This window comes from Homo sapiens, chromosome 18, assembly GCF_000001405.40.
Source record: "Homo sapiens chromosome 18, GRCh38.p14 Primary Assembly".
NCBI classification, from domain to species: domain Eukaryota; kingdom Metazoa; phylum Chordata; class Mammalia; order Primates; family Hominidae; genus Homo; species Homo sapiens.
This window is the reverse complement of record NC_000018.10, coordinates 49,935,246-49,959,624: the sequence shown is the minus strand read 5'-3', so window position 1 is coordinate 49,959,624 and position 24,379 is coordinate 49,935,246. Positions and strand designations below refer to the sequence as shown.

The following is a 24,379-nucleotide window of genomic DNA, read 5'->3' as shown; positions in this document are numbered from 1 at the left end:
GGCAGGCTCTGCCCTGTGTCCTGTGATGAGGATTCTTTGTTTCCTGGAAGAAAGGAAATCACTCAGGACTGTGGAGTGAAATCAGCTCACTCAGTGGGGAGGCCAGTGTCCCCCGCCCCCTGTTTCCTCACCTGGCCCAGCCTGCTGTCAGGAGGATTTACTCTGTATTCAGATCAGGGGATTGTGGTTTCTTAAGAAGTGGCCCCAAAGGTTTCCTTGTCTAGCGCTTTCGTGTAGAGGTGTGACTCCTGTGATGGAGGGAGGTGAAGTGCCCTTGCCACATTTATGTATTCATTCACATGAGAAACCACATGTTCACGGAATAGTGCACTGAGCCCCTGCTTTTCAGATGTCAGCACTTCTTGAGAGGGTCAGGCAAGCACTGAAGTGTCATCTTTGATGACACAGAACCAGAAACACTGTGGAGGAAATGACAGAAGGAAGAGCGTCGTGGGGAGAGCATTCCCAAGCGAAGTCAGATGAGGAGGGGGTGTTCCAGGTGAAGGGAATGTCACACTTGGAGAATTTGAAGTGATCTGATTTGTCTGGAACTCCTGGTGGGGGCAGGTAAGGTTGGAAAGTAGGGACCATGGGAGAATGAGAAGCCGTGTCCACCCTGAGCAGGCACTTGGGCTTCACCCTGAAGCTCAAGGTATCAGCCCACAGGGGAGAAGCAGGGGAGAGGGGTTCAGATGTGAATGATCAGATCAGCAGGTCTCCCAGACTGTGTGCAAGCTGAGGTGGGGAGACCCTGGAGGGGGCAGCACCCTGAGGCCATGTGGTAGGCCAGGCAGGAGAGAACCAGGGCTTCCAGGAGCTCAGCAGGGAGAGGGCCTCCGTGAGTCCCTTGGGTGGAGGACTTCCTTCCAAGGGAGTTGTTGGGACAGAAACCTAATTTCAGTAATTTGAGGAGAGCAGGAGGTGAGGCAGTGGAGACAGCGAGTTTGAACTCTTGGAGGCTTGGCTGTGAAAAAGAAGCGGTGCGAGAGAGGAGCATGGGCTTGGGTGGACTGCGGCCCTCCAGGAGGCAGGGGTGGGTGGATGGAAGACCAGCCAGGAGGGAGACCTTTGTTCCATGAGAAGGACAGAAAGGTGGGATGGCTGTGGGTGCAGATGAGTTTCTGCACGTTAGGACAGGAATTTGGGATTTCCTGCTTGACAGCTTCTATTTCCCCATGAAGGAAGAGACGAGGCATCTGCTGAGAGGCAGCAGGGTCAGAAGCTTGAAGAGAATGGAGGAAGGTGGGAATGGCTGCCCAGTAAACAGAAAGAGAAATTGCAGAGTGCGCAGATTGTTTGGCTGTGGTTAAAGACCATAAATTGGGGTTTAGGAGTTGTCGAGATCAACTTCCTCCATAGATCTAGGAACAGTGTCTTAATCCATAGAAGTGATTCTCCGAGTGAAATTCAGTTTTATTTTTTGGCTGCAGTACTTGTATAAAAGTATAATGGCAGGGCTTGGTTAAAGGAAGATGAGTTGATGTGTGGTCTCATCCAGCCACCCAGGTATGGGTAAGGAGAGAATGGGTAGTTGGATTTATCTAGAATTAATGTTTTGCTGAGCGTGCAGAGGGGTATTTTGTAAAGGTGAAAAATAAAGGCCTGGAAGCAGCACTGGGGGTGGCTGGCAGGTGAGGAGGAAGGAGCTGCCTCCATTCTAGAGAGCAGTGAGGACTGCAGAGTCCTGGGGGGGGCCAGCTGGGCTTCTGTGATGGCAAAGAGGGGAGGGGCCAGAGGGTACTCCTTAAAGAGGCTGGGGATCCAGAGGTATTTATGGTACAGTGATTTGAGAGGTCAGCAGGGGTACAAGGCCTGAAGTATGGAATGGAAGGAGACAGTGAGTGACCAGGAAGGTTGGTGCCAGTGGCCCAGGAAGACAGGGACGAGAAAAGAAGCAGACATAGAATAACTGGCCTTGGGGTCTGGTTTTTTTTTTTTTTTTGGCTTTTTTTGTTTTGTTTTGTTTTGTTTTGTTTTGAGACAGTGTCTTGTTCTGTCACCCAGGCTGGAGTACAGTGGTGTCATCACAGCTGTCACTGCGGCCCCAACCTACCAGGCTCAAGCGATCCTCCTGCCTTAGTCTCCCCAGTAGCTGGGGCTACAGGCAAGTGCCACCATGCCTGGCTAATTTTTAAGTTTTTTGTAGAGATGAGGTCTCCCTGTGTTGTTGCCCAGGCTGGTCTTGAACTTCTTGGGCTCAAGCCATCCTCCCACCTCGGCCTCCCAAAGTGCTGGGATTACAGGTGTGAGCCATTGCGCCTGGTTGGCCTTGGGGTCCTTAAAAGTCAGCTCCTGTCAGCAGCTTTGCTGGGGGCAGGCTTTGGCCTCAGAAGATGTCCCAGGCCAGCGATGGCAACATCTGTGATAGAGAGTGTACAGTTTCTGTTTAGAGATCCACAGGGAACATTGAGAGGGGCTCAGGGAGCCCAGAACTTGCACTCCCCCACTGCCATGCCTGCTTTTTTTTTTTTTTTTTTTTTTTGCTACTTTATTTTACTAGCAAGGAGTGGAATCAGGTCTAATGTATTTTTAACAGCTTTAATGAGATATAATTGACATACCATACAATTCACCCATTTAAAGTATACAATTTGGTGGTTTTTAGTATGTTCACAAGGTTGTGCATCCATTACCAACCACAGTCAATTTTAGAACATTTTCATCACCCCATAAAAAAGCCCTTTAGCAGCTATTCTCCATTGCCCCCCTCCAGCCCCAGGCAACCACTAATCTACTTTCTTTCTGTATGGATTTGCCTATTCTGGGCATTTAATACAGATGGGACCTTTACTTTTTGATGTGATCAGTGGCCAGTACCACAAGGTCAGAGGGATTTAGGCCTCTGAGGGACAGAACCTGCCTAGACGAGGACTGAGCTATGGTCCCGGCTCCTGGCTCAGTGGTCTCTCTGCGTTGCTTTGAGAAGAGCAGAAAGAAGTTCATATAGCTGTATGTGCATTTCCTTTTTAAAGGATTCAGTTCAGCTGCATATTATGGAGCTACCGATATCCATGACCCAGAAGTTATCAAAATATAAGATTTTTTTTCTTTCTCCTGTGGCTGTTTAAAATCTATTTCTATGGAAAGATTTTTGGAGATAAGCACCTTCTACCTTGTTCTGCTTTTGTGGCAGCCTTTAAAACTCTGTCGTCAGGCAGGAAGAATTAACTTGTCCTGTTTGGAACACCAGCTCTGCTATTTAATGGCAAAAGCCACAATTACTTTTGCACCAACCTGATACTTCCCCATTATGTGACCTTGGCAAGTTACTTAACCTCTCTGTCTCCATTTCCTTGTCTCTAAAATGTTTACAAACATAGCACCTAGCTGACATGATTGTATGAGGGTTAAATGAGTTGATACATCTAAAATGTGTAGAAAATGGCCTGGCAAACAATAAGCACTAGCTATGAGTATCATCTGAGACTCTTGATCATTGTTAATTCCTGCCGGCCCTTATTTTTGGTTGGAGGTGGGGTGGACAGTGAAAGGAGAGACTGATCCTTGTCAGAAAATTATGTATACACTTGACCTTGGTTGTTGGTTTCCTCTGCTTATTAATTCATGCCAATCTGAATTAGTGAATATGCAGGATTACGAAGTCTTCTCACAGAAGTCCAATTTCATCTCCAAGGCAAGAAGATTTTGTTCCTAGCCAATTTTACGTGTTTGCCTATGTGGGCTTCCCACCATGGTTCTGTCTGCCCCAGTTTTGCCAGTCCTTCTAGGTCCCTCTTGTGTTCGTCCTCTGTCCCACCCGGTCCTGACAGCCATACTGGGAAGACCACTCCTTCCTTCACACCCGGTGGTTCTAAACACAGAATGCTTGGAGACAAATATAAAACAGTATATATGGAAAGTGCTGAATTAAATATATTTTATTGTCTGCCCAGTGCAATTAATAGCCTCCTTCAAGATAGTTTTCTTTTCTTGAATTTCCTATGGTGTTTAGCATTGAGTATTCAATATTAGTTATGCCAAAATGAATCTTGAGCAAAATCAGTTTGCTTACAAAGGATTTAAGAAATTGGTTCCCAAGTATGTAAGCATTTTCTTTATGGTGCGGATTTTATTAGTTTACCATAAAAATCCCTTTGTAAACGGCTAGTGCAAGGGTCACCATCAACACTTCCTGATCCAAATATGCAATCTAAACCAAAGAAGGGCAGGTCAGTTAGTGACCCGTCACTGAGGACTGGACTGATACTGGTCAGTAAGTGTGTGCAGCGATGACCAGGGATGACAGAGGAGGGAGCACCTTCCCATTGGAAGAGTTGCTGTCATCCTTGACAATTTGAGTGGTGGTTACGGTGACTCTGTTACATTTTCAATGAAGTAAGATGCTTTTTACTTTTAAAGCCATCCATAAAGATATTGAAAGGGGCTGCCCTTCAGAATTCTTAATGCAGTGGAGCCTCTAAGTCTGACTTTAGACAGTGAGAGATGCAGAGATTAGCACCATGTAGAACACTCACTAGGTACTTAGTTCTCACTGCATGGCCAGAGCCCAGTTCTAAGTTCTTTCAGGGACACATAAGCAACGTAAGGCACAGCCAGTCCTTGATCACAACAAACTTACAGTTTGTAGTGATGAAACCCAAAACTCAGGGGTGCACAATATTCTAGGGCATGTGTAAGAGCTTGATTGTGAGGAATTCCAAAGAAGAGGGAAGTGAGATCAACAGTGGTCAGGAAAGGACAGACTTGAGCCAAACCTGGACAATGGTATCTAGGTGAGTTTAGGGAGGGAAGGTAGGCTTTCCTGTGGCAGGAGTTCACCTGGGTGAGTGGGTGAGCTTGGCACTGCAGGTGGATGTGTTTTGTGATGCTGATGTCACAGCCCCAGTTGCAGGGAAGTACCTTCAGGTGGTCCTGCAGGCTGTGACTCTGCTCCTGTGACCTTGGCTTTCACCCTCATCCTCCCTAGCACTTCCAGTGTCTGCCAACCAGCAGGCTCAGCTGCTCCCACAGGTCCCAAGGGAGCCAGCCCACATGGGATGAGGGCACGCCGTGGCCGGATCCTGAACATGTATGGTTGAATCATTCTTTGCACCGTCCAGTTAAGGTCCTGGTTCGAGGGCTGAATCAACCTTCACAGAGCCAGCCTACTGGTCCCATCCCTCTGCTGCAACCCAGGGCTTCCTTCTTCCTCTTCACAAAGCGCTCTGCCCTATCTTGTGGTTCTGCAGGTCCCCAAAGGAACTGACCAGAACTGGGCTCAGAAGCTCTATGACCGGCACTCCAGCAGCCAGCACTTCCAGAAGCCCCGCATGTCCAACACGGCCTTCATCATCGTCCACTTTGCAGACAAGGTGGCTCTCCTCTCTGTTGGCTCGGGTATTCCCTTGGCCCCTCTCTAAGTAGACTCAATGGGCTCTAGACCTAGAGAGAAATCTGTCCCTTCTGAATTCAAATGGCCTGAAGCCTCAGCTAGGTTCCCCTTCCATCCTCTTTTACCCACCCCTCTACTTCTAGGGGATACCAAGCTTACCACAAGGCATAACTTCACAGGGGGTACTATAGTTGCCCAGTCATTCATATATATATATGAATACACACACACACACACACACACACACACACACACACACACACACACATATAAATACATACACACATATATGTCTGTGTATATATATAGTCTATACACACACACATACACACACACACATGTCTGTATATATATAGTCTACACACACACACACACACACACACACACACACACACACATATATGTATATATAAATTCTAAAGCAGTTAACAGTCTACCCTCATGGAGCTTGAGAGAGAAGGGAGGGCTGTAAACAAAGTACCAAATGGTTTGGCTTCTTACCTGGAGCCTGTGTAGCTGCTCTTCAGGGGGCTGCTTTCTCAGTAGCTGGTGGGTGCATAGAATTTTTCTAAGTGGATTTCTGTTTGCTATGCACTAGCTCGGTGTTTCTTAAATTGCAGTGTGTGTATGAATCACCTAGGGTCTTGTTAAAATACAGATTGATTCATTGGGTGTGAGGTGTGGCTGAGAAGCTGCATTTATAGATCCCTGAAGAAACCTTTTATTATGGGAACTCCCTTTAAAACAATTTCTTCCACAAAATGAATACTCAGTTCCCTGTATGTAAATCCTGACCATTTATTGGGTTTGCATTTTAAGTGGAAACATCTGTGGGTTTCCTATCTACTCACAGCTCTTTTCAGAAAATGCTACCTGGATGAGATGAAAGTGGTTGAGAAACTGCTGAAGCACTAACGACTGTGTCTCTCTCTGGTTGCTGTGGCCCCAGGTGGAGTACCTCTCTGATGGTTTTCTGGAGAAAAACAGAGACACGGTGTATGAAGAGCAGATCAATATCCTGAAGGCCAGCAAGGTAAAGAGTGTCAGAAGTGGGGAGTGGAGCAGGAATGCCCACGGCCAGTGCTGGACAGGGAGTGGTGATGCAACCTCCTTGGGGTGGAAAGACAGAGATGCTGGGCAGGGAGGAGGCCAACGGGTTTGTTGGTCATTTCGGTATGAAAACAGTTGAATGGCCATACCACTGTGAATGTGTCCAATCTTGTCTGAAAACACTTTAGTATGGCCTGATGGAGGGAAGAAAGCAAGGAGTGTAGGGGTAGGGGGAGAAAACTGGGAAAGATGCCTGCTAATGGAGGGGATAGGGGAGCATGGGAGGTGACAGGAAGAGAGGACGGTGAGCGCAGTGATGGAAATGTGGCTGGTGTCCATCATGTCATCTGTCCTCCGTCTCCTGCCTGCAGATGTAAGATTATTTAAACCCCATCACATCTAGTATCTGCATTTAATTTGTTCAGCAGTCTATAGAACCTCTCTATAAGCAGAAACTTAATGGAATAGAAGGTGGGATTTAAGGAACACTTAAATCTACTACTTTGGACTCTTTCTCTGTTATTATCAGAATTTCATTTATTTCCAAGCATAGGAAAAAGGTAGCAAATATTGTGTCCATTCTACAGGTAGAGGAAAGAAGGCACCAATTCACCCAAACATATATTTACTAAGCACCTGCTTTGGAAGGCACTGCCCTAAACACACCATTTTCACACAAAGATGAGCAAGACAGAGTCTGCACTCTGGTTGCTCCCCTTCTAATGGGCTGTGAGTGGGCAGATGAAGACACCCACAGGTAACTGTGAAAGGAGAGAAGGAGCACGGGGAGAGGGTGGTAGAGTCAGGGGAAGCGTGTGCACTGGCATTCTAAAAGCCGACTCTGATGCAGATGCCGTTACTGGCTTTAGCCCTGCAGAGGAAACCCAGGGCCGGGGGTGGGGGAAATTCCCAGGATTTAGGAGGCTTTCTCCCAGACCACATGATACTGAACTCACTGCAGGGGCCTGATAACATTGGAGAAATGGCAGATTAATTTCTCTTTGTGATAAGCTTTAGATGAATGCAATAGGATGAGATGATAGAATGGAGAAAATATATCCAGCAAAATGGACCCAGGACATAAAGCCAAGTAAACCCTGTTCTATCACGTGGTGAGGGGTTTAGGGAGGATTTGAGTCAGTAGCAGCATGCAGACTGCCAAGAACAGACCCCTGCCCAGTGTGATCTCTGGATATCTGGAACATCAGAGAATTAGTCATCACTGGGACAAATTGGCCGTGGGTAAAAGTGAATATCACTTTGGAGTTCAATGCAAGATTGACCTTGCAGCTCCCTAAGTTTTTAGATCTCCAGTCTGTGGTGGTTAATGTGACTTTTTCCATTTTTTCATGAGGATGGTGGCATAGGGAGGAGCCCCAAGGCACAGGGAAAGAGAGTAGATGGAAGTGTTCTGAGCACTAGGATCCCCTTCCTCACGATGGTCTCTTACGATGCCTGGAGGCCTGTGACAACTTATAGGGCCAGAAAACTCTGTTGTCTCAGTAGAAGTTTGTCCTTTCAGATTAGAAGCAGAAACGAGGGATGGAGAGAAGAGAGGTGGGTACTTTTCATTTAATACAGAGTCTGGTTCTGCCATTGTGTTGATTTCTGAGCATCTTAATTTGAGTGACTCTCAGGGATTCCAGAATCTAAAAAGGAGTGGTGCCCGGAAAACTCTGTTATATTCACTCTCCAGCAGGTTATCTTTTATTAATAGCTGAGCTGCTTTTCCCTTATTTTTATTTATCAGCTTTATTGAATATTTGTGTAGTATATAGTGGTAACCGACACATGTAGTTAATCTCATGGAACTTAGTGAAAAAGATGCACAGTTTAATTACAAACTGTGGTAACGCTAAGAAGGTCAAGAAGAAGGTGCTATGGAAGAGAATGATAAGGGTAGGTTGGTGGCCCCCAGGACCACCCCCAGGTTCAACCATTTGCTAGGAAGATTCACAGAACTTAGCATATAGTTATGGCTATAATTTGTTACAGCAAAAAGTAAACAGCAAACTCAGCAAAGGGAGAGGTGGATGGGGTGACGTCTCCCGGAGACCAGGCACAAGCTTCCAAGAGTCCCTTCCACCTGGAGTCATACAGGATGCACGTAATTCCCCCTAGAAGCAAGTCATGACACTTCTTTTGACATGCCTACCAGGGAAGGTCACCTGAGCCCAGGCGGCCAGGGTTTTTATTTGGGGTTGATTATGTAGGCACCCTTAGCCTAGCACAAACCAAAATTCCAAACTCCCAGAAGGAAAGCAGATGCTCAACATAAATTATTGTTTGCATGAACAATTTAGGCACAGTGAACTGTTCTTATCAGGGAATGGTAAAAATCCAAGTTCCCCTGACACCAGCCAGGGGTCAAGCAGCCTTTCTAAGGATAGCAGATGCAGGCCTGCTGTGTTAGCTCTTTTCTATACAAGAATATTGTTTTAGATTGCAGGTACTGGGTTTTTATTAGAAATTAAATGTAAGCTCATAAAAAATTAAAGTATTGTAGAAATATATAAAATAAGTCTTCTTTCCCACTCCTTGACCCATCTTTTGATGGGTCAGAATATACCCTATTCTGCATGTTGGTACATCTTTTTAAGATTAAAATAAGTACATTATAGACACGTAGTCCTCTGTAATTTAATTTTTCAGTTACCATTGTATCTTGGTTGTCTTTCCACACGAGTACACATCTATTTCTCTTTTTTAAACAACTGCTGATAATTTGCTATTTCAAATAATGTAGCAATGAATATCCTTTATGTATATCTTTGCATACTTCTGTACAATTATGTCTGTTGGGTAAAATTTTAGAAGCAGATTGATGATGGTTCAAAGAGTATGCACATCAAAAGTGTATAGATGTTGCTAAGTTGGAGGACAAAATAGGTGTGATCTACTCTTGAAATGCAACTTCCTCCTCCTCTTTCCTGCCCACTAACCACAATGCTAGCTTTCCCCCTCACCAGCTAAAACGTCTAAAGAGCCAGTGACCTTTTTGCCACCCCTGTCCCCATCCCAGCAACAACCCTGAGATGTGGTGATGTTGGCTGGCAGCACTGAGATTAACCAAGAAGGGCTCTGGCTAACCAGACCCTAGCTGGAGGAGGGCTTGAGAACTCTCTACCCTGAGCCCCTCCTAGCCTGTTTCAGACGTCTCAAAAGACAGAAAGCAAAGATTGTTGCTGTATCACCATAAACCTGCAGATGGGCTATACACAGACTGCAGCTGCAAATCAAAGAGTGATTCTAAGTATGCTCTACACCATTTGGGCAGATGGGCATGTCTGGCAGCATCTGTCATTTTAGTATCTTTAAAGCTCATCATTTACTGAGTGATGAGTCTATTTTCTTTAAAATTTTTAGTTTTCATAGTAGCCCTATGAGGCATATGTTTCTAACTCCATATTAAAGAAAAATGAAAACCTAGAAAGATACAAGTTTCTATGTCATTACATTAAAATTGTAACGCTTAATTTTTTATTGGTTTTCATTTAGCACAGCTAAATCTCAAATCCTGTTTGTAAATTCATAATTTTACCTAAAGTACTTTTATTTTATGAGAGACTTTTTTTTTCTGTTGGGTGACATCCTTGATAAGAAATTAACAAGTCATCATGAATAATTAAGCAGTAGGGGATAGAAGACACCCATATACTCTACCAACCAAAGGGATGTTCGAAGAACTCCCACTACGAGCAGTGAAATAACAGGGTGTTAATGAGAATGTAATTAGTGAAGCCAGTTCCATTGTCTGAGCGGTTGTAATGTAGCTAATTGCTTTCTCAGCTATCGGAGCTGTAAATAGAGACTTAAGTAAAGAGATGCCTCTTTAAAACATGACTTCAAGTTATTAACAGAGTCATTTTCTTTAAATACTAAAGGATGGAGGTTTTCCTTTTTTTTTTTTTCCAGTTTTCCAGTTTTTATTTATTGTGAAAAGGAATAATTTATCAACCAGGAGAAAAAGAAAACTTTAAAAGGAGAATGTTTTTCCTCTGAAGATTGCCTATTCCTGGCCACCACTACATGTAGGTCAGAGGGACAAGCTGTGGGTCACGTGTTTGTGCCAGCATGTGCTGGGCAGTGAGGGTGTACTGGGCAGTATTTCTGGGCTATGGGACAGGCATCCCAGTGCCATCTTTCCACTCTATCCCAGCATAAGGGATCTTGAGATGAATGTGGTCCAGAGACCACCTTGGCCCAAAGCTACTTACCCTGAGTTCATGAACCCTACACCTCCTTCCCAGAATTAATTTTCCAACAAACTCATCCACCTCTGAATCTCAGAGATCCTACCACTTCCAAGTGCAGTCTCAATGACAGGGACCTACAATTAAAACCTAGATTTTAAAATAAAATACAAATTCACCAGACTGAACCTTGGTCATGTTGGTACCCAAATTACAGCACAGGAGTCGCAGGAACAGCTCACACAAGGCCCAGGTGTTCACTCCCCTTCTCCCTCCTGCTGCTTATGGCTTGACTTCAGCTTGTCAAGGAATGACAAGTACACATGTCCATTGCTTTCCACACTGATGTGTTTTTAAAAGGTTATATACACACACCTTGTTTTGACCAAATAAGTTTGCTTTTTAAAAATCTTATGTTTACTTTTAATTTTTTAACTTATTTTCTGAATAGGAGCTTGAGATAATAAACATACTATAAAATGTTCTCAAATGTACTTTGCTTCCTGTTTAAGATGTGCTGGTATTTGAAAAGCTTCTGCCAATACTTAAACCAAGCAGGGTACTATGTAGGATAACTTTTTAGTTGACAAAACAATATCGTCTCCCTTATGATACAGGAGAGTCCATGTTGTCTTCCAAAAAAAATGAAGTACTGAGACTTTTCCTCCAAAGCCTATTTAAAACCCTTTTAAAATATTCATCTAAATGTCAGAGATTTTTCCCTCCAAAGGGTACCATTAGTCATGTAAAAAGAATTGATTGAAAGGAAAAATGTGTTTATTATGTTTACAGCCATAGATTTCTTTTTAAAGAAAAGATTCTGGGGAAGAGACACCACCCAAACTGTTCTTATACTATGTCTTATTTTAACTTTATGTGTCTGTTTCAGAGGAAATATCTTTTATATTCTTATAAACACAAATGAGTAGGTGTGATTTCCAAGGTAACAGCTATGTGTCAGCTGTAATTGACTTTTTATTTTATTATTATTATACTTTAAGTTTTAGGGTACATGTGCACAACGTGCAGGTTTGTTACGTATGTAGATAGCATTAGGAGGTATACCTAATGCTAAATGACGAGTTAATGGGTGCAGCACACCAACATGGCACATGTATACATATGTATACAGATGTAACAAACCTGCACGTTGACTTTTTTTAAACTGCCAAATGGCCTTTACAAAGTTTTTTCATGCTTCTTAGTCCCTTTTTGATTTGCCCCAGGCTTTTAAAAGCTATATATAGGAATGAATAGCAGAGAATACCAAAGCCAGTCCCTATGTACAGGTTTTAAACAAGTGACAGGAAAATATTGGTTTGTCTGGAGGTGCTAGCTTGAGTGTTTGAGTTCGAAGGGGACAAATTGTGAGAAATGCCCGGGTGGCTGCCCTAAGGTAAATTGTGGCAGCTCTCTTACTGCTCAGTCAGCTTATAAACAGACTGCTTAATAACTCTAAACACATAATTGGAGTTTGTCAATTGCCCTGATCTGATTACTATACACTATATATGTCAAAACTAGGTACCCCATGTATGTACAGTTATTATGCGTCAATTAAAAAATAAAAATTTAAAAACTTCTTTTCGCTCAGAAATGTGATCCTTTGTATGGGTCCTTTGTCAAGTAAGAGCTTGGTGACTACGGCTGGGTGCGGTGGCTCACGCCTGTAATCCCAGCACTTCGGGAGGCCAAGGCAGGCGGATCACAAGGTCAGGAGATCAAGACCATCCTGGCTAACATGGCGAAACCCCATCTCTACTAAAAATACAAAAAATTAGCCAGGCGTGGTGGCGGGCGCCTGTAGTCCCAGCTACTCGGGAGGCTGAGGCAGGAGAATGGCGTGAACCCGGGAGGTGGAGTTTGCAGTGAGCTGAGATCGTGCCATTGCACTCCAGCCTGGGTGACAGAGTGAGACTCCGTCTCAAAAAAAAAAAAAAAAAAAAAAGAGCTTGGTGACTACTTTTCATTGTGACTCTGGGCTTGTGTATAGTTGGGACACTTCTCAGGTGAGGTATCCTTACGTAGCCCAATCTTCTTAAGGGATGGGTGTGGATGGAACCATAATTTGTATTTCTTGCCTGGGTCTTTTGCGGATGTCTACAGCCCAGCGTTGAACATGGTATCTCTTAGTCTTTCAGTCCTGTCATCAAACTAGATCTCTTATGTTCATTTGAGTTTATAAAACAAATTTTGAATAGAATACGAAGCATACTGGTACCTCCTTTTGAGAACTAATATTCCAACACAGTCATCTCCCTCTAAATCCCAGATCCTGCCACTGCCAAAGGCAGTCTCAACAGCAGGAACTTAAAGGAAAACCTAGCTTTTCAAATAACATACAAATTCTTCAGACTAAACCTTGATTATGTTGATTCCAGATTATAGCACAGTGCCAGCTTAGGTACAAATCTGCCTTGGACAGTTTTTACTTTCTGTTCTTAAGTTACAAAGTCCCTGTTTAATGTATAAAATTAAAAGCATAGATAGCCTTTCTAATGGAAGCAGGAGAAAGGGGCTGAAATCTTAAAATTCTCCCATTGGTGATTCTGATTTCCAAGTTCCTAGTGTGATTTTTCATACAGATCAAGCATCACAAATCTAGAATGCTCTAAAATTTGAAACTTTTTGAGCACCAATATGACACTCAAAGGAAATGCATCTACGGCCATACCACCCTGAACGTGCCTGAGCTTATCTGATCTCAGAAACTAAGCAGGGTCGGGCCTGGTTAGTGCATGGATGGGAGGAAATGCTTACTGGAGTATTTTTGCATTTTGGATTTTCAGATTAGGGATGCTCAACCAGTAAGTATAATGTAAATTCTCCAAAATCTGAAACACTTCTGGTCTCAAAATTCTCAAATTTTGAATAACGGATACTCAATCTGTACCTGTTAATGACCTTAGGGCTTAATATTTTTTTTTTTTTTACAGTAAAAGCTACTATGAATGATTTCTGTAAATTTAACCCCCTCCCCACTACCCAATAGTATAGTTATGCAGATTGGTAACTTCTACCCATGCCTCAAACATCTTGAAAATTCACTTCAGAAAGTATATGAATTAGAATTATTTAATAAGCCAGTGTTTTGCTTTGCCATGACAGACAGGCATGAATCACAATGGCATCTTCAAAATGTGAACCTGCCTCCAGCCTCCCATTATTTCCCCATGGAGCTTTCTCAGCACCAGTCTGACGGGCCACTTTGTCCTTTCTTACCTGTGTCTTGGCTCTCTGGCCCTGGTCCATGGAGCCCCCAGGCCCAGCTCTCCTCTCCTCCTCCTCCTCCTCCCCTCCTCCCCTCCACCAGCCCATTCTGCTCCTGCCACTCTCAGTGTTTAGTTCACCTGAACACTGTTCATCTATGGCTTTCTGCCATAGACAGTGAGGACAAACAAATGGGCCTTTAACATGTGGCTACTGGATAAGGTTTGCATCCAGAGAAAACTCTGGCTGTTGGTTGGAATGTGTTTGGGTGAAGGTGTGCCCGGAGGTATGCCCTCACGCTTTCGGTGACTGTAGTGATCCAGGAGAGAGCTGGGTAGTCCTGAGCTGGAGCAGCAGCTCCAGCTCCAGATTAATGAAAAAAAAAAGGACTGCATGATACTCCCCTGTGGGCAGAACTTGGTACTTGATTGAGATATAGGAAGTAGGGTGAGGACAGGATTCTAGCCTAACCTAGGAAGTCAGTGGGTGAAGGTGGTTTGGGCTGTATTGAATTCGGAGTTCCCAGTGGAACACCTAGAGGAAAGAAGAGCGAGCTGGAATTGTGAATCATAGTAACAGGAAAAGATCCAGACTGGAGTGGCAGGATCTGGGAGGGATGGTTGGAGCCATGGCCTAGGGGAGACTGTCCCCAGGGACTGAGGTAAGTGGTGAGGATGAGGCTCTGGAAAATGGCAATGCAAAGGATGGAAGTGCAGGAAAAAGCCCCGTGGGAGGTTCTGGGAAGGGCGCCGGGCAGGGAGAAGATTAGAGGAAGCAGAACTGCTAAGTGTCAGGAAGGGACCTTTACAAGGAGGCGTGGGCCAGTGGCACAGAGGCCTTTGAAGAGGTCGGGTAGGATCAAAAATGAAAGCACACCACTTCTAGCCATTGGACTTGACAAGCACTGGAGTTGCTTTCAAGGTACATTTCAGCAGCATGGGGAGGAGGCCATCTGGTGGAGGGAGGTCTGAGGAGGAGCGGCGTGGAAGGCGGTGTCTGTCTGTGGATGCCTTGCTCGAGGTGATCGATGGTAAAGTGAGAAGAGAGACAGGCTGAACAGGGAGGGGTTTGAAGCAACAGAGAAGCTTGAACGTAGCTGTATGCTTGGTGGATAGAAGCCAGGGGATGGAGTGATTCAAGTATAAGAAAATGCAGGAATCCAGGTCAGGGAGTGACTTAAAGGAATCATCTGGTCAGCTCTTCCATTTATATAAATGAGCAAGTTAAAATCTAGTAAGCCTGAGAGGTTTGCCATGGGCCACACGGCTATCAAGTTGCAGGGTCATATCTAAAGTTCAGGTCTCCTGACCCAGCCCCATGCCCTTCCTGCTATACCTCATTACTTCTGAGCTCACTGCTAGGTTGTAAGCTCTTCTGGTCTCCATGGTCTCCCTTGACTCCTCTAGGCACCCAGGACAGGGCTTCATGTGCAGTGGGCTCTTCCTTATGCTGTAGCCAGGGATCTGTTTAGAAAGAACTGCCATTGCTGGTTCTAGTCATTGCCGTTCTCTGTGGTGCATTGTTGCTTGGACTCTGGAGACAGGCTGTCTGGGTTCAAATCCTGACTATGCTACGTACAGCTCTGTGATCTTGGGCCCTAAGTCTCAGTTTCCTCATCTGTAAAATAGAGTGCAATGGTGCTTACACCACTGGGAGGCTTGGAGGAGTTCATGTGTGCCAGGCATAGTCAACGTGCTCAATAAATATTAGCCCCTGTTATTTTAACCCTTTAATGGCTTCCCATTGCTCTTAGGATAAAAATAAAAATTCTTAACTGAGGCCTACATGAGCTAGTCCCTCTTGCTTCCTTCTCACTGTGTACATTGTACGTTGACCAGCTTTATCTTAGCCCCCCGAATGCACAGAGCTCCTTCATAGGTGCCATTACTTCCACCCCATAACATGCTGTCCTCCCCATCCAATGTCCTACAGTTCAGACTTCCCTCCCTAAGAGAATCCTGTCTTCATTTCCCACATCCCAGACCCCCGATTTAGTCGCATCTTTGTTGTTGATTTCCTTTAGGATATTCATCTTCTTGTCATTATGTTTTTAATTGTGGGTTATTTTCATTAGCATTCACCTTCCATGCTAGACCATAAACTCCATGATATAGAAGAGGCTAGGCTTCTTCTATAACACTTTTGTTTTACCAGTTCCTAGCACAACATTTGTTGCATATTTGAGCGTCAGTAAGTGTTGATGGATAATGTGTGGATGAATGAATGAATGCACAAACTAGTCAATCTAGTTTCTTGACAGTCAGTGACCTAGTATTTACTTTCTCTGCTTTGACTGCACATGGAATTGAGTACCTAATACAAATATCGGTTTTTTATGATGTTGGCATATGGATTTTAGCCACAGATCTTAAATTGTGTTTTTATTTCTGACAGCTCACTAGTTACCTTGCCATCTAAAAAGACAATATTTATGACTTTGAAATGCCATGCATGAAGAGAGGGAGGAAAATTTTTTTTTTAATTATACTTTAAGTTTTAGGGTACAACGTGCAGGTTTGTTACATATGTATACATGTGTCATGTTGGTGTGCTGCACCCAGTAACTCGTCATTTAACATTAGGTATATCTCCTAATGCTATCCCTCCCCCCTCCCCCCACCCCACAACAGTCCCCAGTGTGTGATGTTCCCCTTCCTGTGTCCATGTGTTCTCATTGTTCAATTCCCACCTATGAGTGAAAACATGTGGTGTTTGGTTTTTTGTCCTTGTGATAGTTTGCTGAGAATGATGGTTTCCAGCTTTATCCATGTCCCTACAAAGGACATGAACTCATCATTTTTTTATGACTGCATAGTATTCCATGGTGTATATGTGCCACATTTTCTTAATCCAGTCTATCATTGTTGAACATTTGGGTTGGTTCCAAGTCTTTGCTATTGTGAATAGTGCCGCAATAAATATACATGTGCATGTGTCTTTATAGCAGCATGATTTATAATCCTTTGGGTATATACCCAGTAATGTGATGGCCGTGTCAAATGGTATTTCTAGTTCTAGATCCCTGAGGAATCGCCACACCAACTTCCACAATGGTTGAACTAGTTTACAGTCCCACCAACAGTGTAAAAGTGTTCCTATTTCTCCACATCCTCTCCAGCACCTGTTGTTTCCTGACTTTTTAATGATCGCCATTCTAACTGGTGTGAGATGGTATCTCATTGTGGTTTTGATTTGCATTTCTCTGATGGCCAGTGATGATGAGCATTTTTTCATGTGTCTTTTGGCTGCATAAATGTCTTCTTTTGAGAAGTGTCTGTTCATATCCTGCGCCCACTTTTTGATGGGGTTGTTTGTTTTTTTCTTGTAAATTTGTTTGAGTTCATTGTAGATTCTGGATATTAGCCCTTTGTCAGATGAGTAGATTGCAAAAATTTTCTCCCATTCTGTAGGTTGCCTGTTCACTCTGACGGTAGTTTTTTTTTTTTTTTTTTTTTTTTTGCTGTGCAGAAGCTCTTTAGTTTAATTAGATCCCATTTGTCAATTAGATCCCATTTTTGCTTTTGTTGCCATTGCTTTTGGTGTTTTAGACATGAAGTCCTTGCCCATGCCTATGTCCTGAATGGTATTGCCTAGGTTTTCTTCTAGGGTTTTTATGGTTTTAGGTCTAACATTTAAGTCTTTAATCCAACTTGAATTAATTTTTGTATAAGGTGTAAGGAAGGGATCCAGTTTCAACTTTCTACATATGGCTAGCCAGTTTTCCCAGCACTATTTGTTAAATAGGGAATCCTTTCCCCGTTGCTTGTTTTTGTCAGGTTTGTCAAAGATCAGATGGTTGTAGATATGCAGCATTATTTCTGAGGGCTCTGTCCTCAGACATAGATCCCATTGATCTATGTCTCTGTTTTGGTACCAGTACCATGCTGTTTTGGTTACTGTAGCCTTATAGTATAGTTTGAAGTCAGGTAGCATGATGCCTCTGGCTTTGTTCTTTTGGCTTAGGATTGACTTGGCAATGCGGGCTCTTTTTTGGTTCCATATGAACTTTAAAGTAGTTTTTTCCAATTCTGTGAAGAAAGTCATTGGTAGCTTGATGGGGATGGCATTGAATCTGTAAATTACCTTGGGCAGTATGGCCATTTTCACGATATTGATTCTTCCTACCCATGAGCATGGAATGTTCTTCCATTTGTTTGTATCGAGAGGGAGGAAAATTTATTTCAAAGATGCTGAGAAGCTGAGAATAGGAACAGAATTGTCACCTGTTGGCAGCTAACACTTGGGGGCATCCTTAGTGATCTCACTGGGGTACCCTCCAGGGTACCTGCCTGACAACAATATCATCAGTATCCTTAGCAGGGATTTGTCTCTTTATCTCCTTCCATGGAGCTATTTAGACTCTGCATATTGTGAATAGGATTATCCCTTCCATGCCCTCAAGCAGGGATTTGAGGTGTGCTTTGCTCAGAAATATGGTAGCATTCTCTAGTGCTAATCATGGTGTCAGCAGCCTATTGTAGCCACAGAATAGCCAGCAGTGAGAATGGGCTTGGGCTGCTCACCAGAGATGGCCTTAAGATCATTGGTTGGTGCTTTTAGACTGAACTTAGAACCCAGGCCAGGGAACTAAGGAACTGCAACTTTTATTTGCATGCAAGTCACTCTGGTGGAAAATGGAAATTGGATGCTTCTAATGGTTGGTGTGTCTGTGAGAAATGAGGAGTGTGAGGGAAAAGTGAAACTGACACGTGTTGATTCCCGCATGATTGTCCATGTAGGTGCACATGAAACACAGTTGTTTCATGGCTTTATAACCCATTAGACTAGCTCCTGTGCTGTGTAAAACAAAACACTGACTTGTGTTAATTTCTCTTGACTCTAAAACTGAAGCTACTAAGATGTATGAACTTTGTAATAACTAAGAATGAGGTAAGAGGAACTAATTTTTTTGTATGTTTTTAGTTTAAAATGCTTGATGTAGAAGATTAGCCCATAATTTTCACCAGCATTAGGTGCTGTTTTAAACATTAGGCATTGTAACCTTGTACGTATGTGCAGGTGGGCACACTCATTCTAATCCACTGTGATAGTGAAGTGTTCCTGCATAAGGTGAGGCTTAAGTCTTGCTGAAAACAAACCCTTGGATCCGTGGAATTCATACAAGTTGCTTTATGCTTGATCTTATCCAAAAGGCCTAGAAGTGATATGGGTTACTTTAATATGTGAAAAATACCAGAGTCGTCAGACTGAGGGGGGTTCACTGAGCAAAGTGTCTGCATCTCTCCAGTTTCTCCTTGGACGTGACCTGGGTAGTTGCTGATGGTCTTATGCCTGCCTTAAGTGAGGTCAGGTTGCAAGAAGCCCCATGGAAATGGGATGGTCATCATGTGTTTTATAACCCCCATCATATCACCCTGGAACTCCAGCACAAAGGTACCTAATAAGGTTGCAGAAACTGCCTTTGAGTGTGCGAAGTCACCTGAATCTGACAGGTTCTGAGAACAGTTCTAGTATGCCACCAGCACCATCTTGCTACTCTGTCTGGACACTGTAATGTGCTGATGTGATACCATGACTCTGTACTGTCAGGTATCTCTGACTGCAGAAGGGAGATGAGCCAGGGCCCACTGTAGACTGTAATGTGAAAAAGCTCATACTCATTGCGTTGTTTTGATATGCTTCTAGGACTTTTTGAATTCACCTAGAATAGTGAATTATTTTGTGAATTTTGGACCTATTCTTACATGATTCTTTCTTTCCAAGCTCTTGGCATGATGCTGTTGATATGAAAGCCTTTGTAGGTACTCAGTAAATACTCCACTAGGCTGGAACTTAATTTATTGAAGGTCTCGGCAGTGCAGAGCATCACCAGAGCATGAGCTGTCACTGCTATATGGGACCTGTAGCCATACATGAAGATGATGCTGCATCTTCAGTAGGTAGCTTGCCTTAGCCTGAATCTCCTACAAGTCTCAGGAGATGATGTCAGCTAGAGAAATGTTTCATGGAAGTGTTATCTTATGTATTTAATTGTTGTTGCAAGTACCTCAAAAGTCAAGGCTATATCTGAAGCCCTTTTATATTTCTACTTCCTTGATATTGTGGGTTTAAATGACAAGGCTATATTTCTGTATTGAAACAAATTCTGACCTGGGCATCCGGAGGCCGAGGTTCTAGCCCAGGCTCAGCCACTGACTAGCAGCCCTTTGAGAGCTGGTGCTGACCATTGTGCTTGGTGGTGGAGGGAACAGAGGTTGGAGCAGGATTCCGGTAGGTTCCTTCTCCCCAGTCGCCTACATCCTCACCTGCCACATGGAGGTGAAAGTTGACCTTTACATTTGTTCCAGATCTAAAATTCTATGTTGTTTCTTCAGATCAAAAATACAACTTTCTTAAGCATCTGTACTTACGTGGTTCAGAAAGATCATTCATGTAGGCCGGGCATGGTGGCTCACACCTTTAATCCCAGCACTTTGGAAGGCCGAGGCGGGCGGATCACGAGGTCAAGAGATCGAGACCATCCTGGCCAACATGGTGAAACCCTGTCTGTACTAAAAATACAAAAATTAGCTGGGCATGGTAGTGCACGCCTGCAGTCCCAGCTACTGGGGACACTGAGGCAGGAGAATCGCTTGAACCTGGGAGGCAGAGCTTGCAGTGAGTTGAGATTGCGCCACTGCACTCCAGCCTGGTAACAGAGCGAGACTGTTTCAAAAAAAAAAAAAAAAAAGAAAAAAAAGAAAGAGTGTTAATGTATATAACCCCTAGTAAAAGTAATAAAACTAGATAATGTCTGAGCCCTATATGCTGGACACTTTTCTACATGCTTACACGGATTCTCTCATTCAGTCCTCTCCTCAGCCCTTGTTCTCAGGAGGAAGGGAAGTCTCAGCAAGTGTAGAGCTCAGGATTCAACACAGACCTTGAGGGGGTGAGGGTGTCCCAGGACACCACAGAGCCTGTGGGAGACACAGACAGGAGTGATGGGTGCTTTGGGAGAGGGTCACGGGAGGGGCAGGGCTCAACCTTGAGAGAGGGGCCTCTCAGGATAAGTATAGAAGAGAAAGGGGTGGGGGTATTTCAAGTAAAAATAGCACAGTAAGCAAAGGTATAGAGGCAGGAGTAGTGAGCATTGTGCCTATGAGACAGCAACGTGACCAGTTGGATGGTTTTGCAAGGTATTGTCTGAGAGGGGTGAGTGGGATCTGATCAGGGAGTCCTCAGACACTAGACTAGGGATTTCAGACACAATGGCAGGAGAGGGGAGCCATGCACTTAAGTGGGGGTTAAAGGAAGAGGGCACAGGGTAGGTGAGAAGGAGCAGAGCCTAGCATCTGAGGCTGTAGCATTTAGCCTCTCTTCTGTTGAGATTGGAATTGCTCAAGGTTAGTGAATGGGGCCTGTATGTTCCTTTTCCCTCCCTCCTTTTCCCCCAACCCCTGCAGGAGTGTGGTAAAAGCCTTGTAATACTTTATTCTAGCCCCAGCATTGACTTCCCCAAGGGATGATGACAGGACTGTGTTCCTGTCAGACTGAACTTCTTGATGGCTGGGACTCTGTCACCAGCGCCTCATCCAAGGCCTGCATCTTCACCTTGTTACAGATGAAGATATTAACCTCTTATTTAGTATTCATAACAACCCCATATAACAGGCATAGGCTTATCCCTATTCTGATGAGAAAACAGGTATCAGGGAAGTTAACTTGACAAGATGCAATAATGTAGAAAAATAGAACTTAAACTTAGGTGTATTAAAGCATAGCCACCTCCTACCACACCACAAGGAAATGAAGTTCTGCGCATCTTTGCAGGTGAAGATTGAGTGAGATTGTATGGGAAAGCAACTTTTTTCCTACCATTTAAAAAATTGAATTGTCATTCATACATTACAAAATTCACCCTTTTGAAGCACACAATTCACTGGGTTTCAGGATGTTCACCAATTTATGCAGTCATCACCACTAAAAGTCTGGGAATATTTTTATTACTCCAAAAAGAAATCCTGTCCCCCTTAGCAGGCACTCCCTTTCTCCCCTTCTTCCCCTTCCTCTTCCCCTTTCTCCCCCAACCCCTAGCAACCAATAACCTACTTTCTATTCCCTGGATATTTCATGTAAATGGAATCACACACTATACGAACGTTTGTGTCTGGCTGCTTTCACTTGGTATAATTTTTTTGAGGTGTGTCCATGTTGTGGCATGGATCAGGAGGTCATTTCTTTATATTGAATTTATTAATAATGTTGAATAATCCATTGTATGGAGGTACCACATTTGTTTGTCCATTCATCAGTTGGTATTTGGGTTGTTCCTACCTTGTGGCGCTTTTGGGAGTAACGCTGCTGTGCAGGTTGGTGTGTGGGTTTTGGCGTGGATGTGTGTTTTCCGTTCTCAGGTATATGTTGAAAAGCAGCTTTGAGAGGAAACATGTAAGGTGCAGGAGATGTCACTTTCATCATTCTTCCTGTGATTGTTTCTAGTTCCCACTAGTGGCTGACTTGTTTCATGATGACAAGGACCCTGTTCCTGCCACCACCCCTGGGAAGGGGTCATCTTCGAAGATCAGCGTCCGTTCTGCCAGACCCCCCATGAAAGTCTCCAACAAGGAGCACAAGAAAACCGTTGGCCACCAGGTCAGCCCCGGACCAAAAGCTATGGGCTGAGGTGCATGTGCAGGGCTGGCCTCTCTGTAGATGAAGGATGGCGGCAGGGTGAGAGGGAAGCCATCACAGCAGCCTTGACATCAGTAGCCTCAGCCATCCAGCTCTATCTTGTGTCCTTAGAAGAAGGAAACTCCAATACCTTCACCACAAGGAACTAACAGAGGGAGGAGGGAAGGGGCCGACCGTAGCCTCCATAAGTATGTTAACGCCTGTGGTGGGGCTGTGCCACAGGGCCAAAGACACCTAGTGTGGGAGGCAAGAGGGCCTGGAATTTATAGGTTAGAGAGGAGGCTTAAGGAAGCTGTGGATCAGGAGACTAAAAGCAACTTCTCCTGCTGTGGGGTCTCTGTGGCTGTTCTGCCCATTGTGTCTCTGGAGAGAAGAGAAGAGAATGCTTGTCAAGTCCCTGGCAGCCACCACCTAACATTTGTTCCTATGAGTTTGCCATTCTGGACATTTAGTATAACAAATTATTTCCAGGATACCCAGGCATCGGATGTCAGGGTCCCAGGCCCTCAGGTTTAGGAAGAGCAGGCTTCCGGTGCACAGTGACCAAATCTCTCCTACAGTATTTGCCCACCTTTCATCTTATTTGATCCACAGCACTGGGAGTTAGGCACATTAGGGGGTAGTCTGTCCCCCATGTAATTCAAGGAACCCTTAAATAGGAAGGACTTGATTTTGGTCACAGCAAGATAGCAGTGTCAGAGCTGGAATCTTACCCCAGGTCTCTGAAATTTCTTCCATCCTTCTGGATTAATAATATAATAGTAACAATAACTACCGCCACCCATATATGAGTTTTTCTTTATCACACATCCACGACTTGTTAAAACTAACCAAGCACTGGCTTTTGTCTCTCTAGTTCCGTACCTCCCTGCATCTGCTCATGGAGACCCTGAATGCCACGACACCTCACTATGTCCGCTGCATCAAGCCCAACGATGAGAAGCTCCCCTTTCAGTAAGTGCCTGCTGGGCATTAGCCTGTCCAGCCCAGCCTTAGAGGTTCAGGTGGAACAGGGTGGCCCAGGCCTTGCCTGGGGGTCTGTGGCCTTCAGCATGATGACCACCTGGACTTACACTCCCCAGACATCTTACTTGCTGCAGACAGACTGACAGACACTTGCTGAGTGCCACCAGTCTGCTGTCCAGGAGGTCTTAAGAGAAAAAATGCCGTTCCCCGTATAGTGGTGGTCAGGAATGTGCATGCTTGAATAAAATAGAGAACGTTAAATGTAGCCATGAGTACATCTCACAGCAAGTGTTAAATTCAGGCTTGGAAAGGTTGCTGGAGTGGTCAGGAAAGGCTTTTCTTGTGTTGAAGAATCAAGACCTCACATGATGTGTTGGACGATAGGACATGAACATGGTCCTGTTTCTCACATTCCCATCTGCTGCTAAGCTTCCAGAATTATCCACATTTGCTCCCCTTTTCCTCACTCCTCAACCTACTCTGATCCAACTTTTGTTTCTACCCTGACCTTGAAACTTTGTTCCGGTTCTGTCCATGCTCATGTGGCTGACCTCACCCTAATCTGTAGAACTCTTAATGATCTTTGTACATCTTGGTTTCTACTAAATTCCAGACAAGTGTTTGTGCAAGCCTACTACAGCTTCATTATCCACCTTGCCTTCAGCACATCTGAGACCACACTCTTCATCTCCTGCCACCCCCCAAGAATGATTCCTCTTTCATTGGTCTTTGTTGTAGTAAGAGGCATAACATTTCCTGTTATCTCATCCACCCATGAGACCTGATCTCCCATACTAGAAGTTCTCTCTAACCTGCTGTGCAGGGGGAATCCCTGTGATGATGGGTATGTGCTGTCATCTGCCTTATCCAGTGTGGGAGCCGCTTGTCACGCATGGCTATCGAGTGCTTGAAACCTGTCTGGTGTGAGTGAGGAACTGAATTCTGAATTTTATTTCATTTTAATTTATTTTGGATACCCCGAGGTGCTAGTGGC

The 24,379-nt window shown here is 44.2% G+C and overlaps 1 protein-coding gene and 1 pseudogene across 1 annotated transcript in view; both read left to right on the top strand.

The window, feature by feature from the left end:
* The window catches only part of MYO5B (myosin VB), a 372,359-nt gene that overhangs the window by 235,523 nt on the left and 112,457 nt on the right, over positions 1–24,379 (top strand). Inside the window, exons 13-16 of the mRNA NM_001080467.3 lie at positions 5,190–5,312; positions 6,282–6,365; positions 22,228–22,380; positions 23,276–23,373. Coding sequence (NP_001073936.1) covers positions 5,190–5,312; positions 6,282–6,365; positions 22,228–22,380; positions 23,276–23,373 — 458 coding nt within the window. The remainder of the gene's footprint in view (positions 1–5,189; positions 5,313–6,281; positions 6,366–22,227; positions 22,381–23,275; positions 23,374–24,379) is intronic.
* Positions 13,236–13,359, top strand: RNA5SP457 (RNA, 5S ribosomal pseudogene 457; annotated as a pseudogene).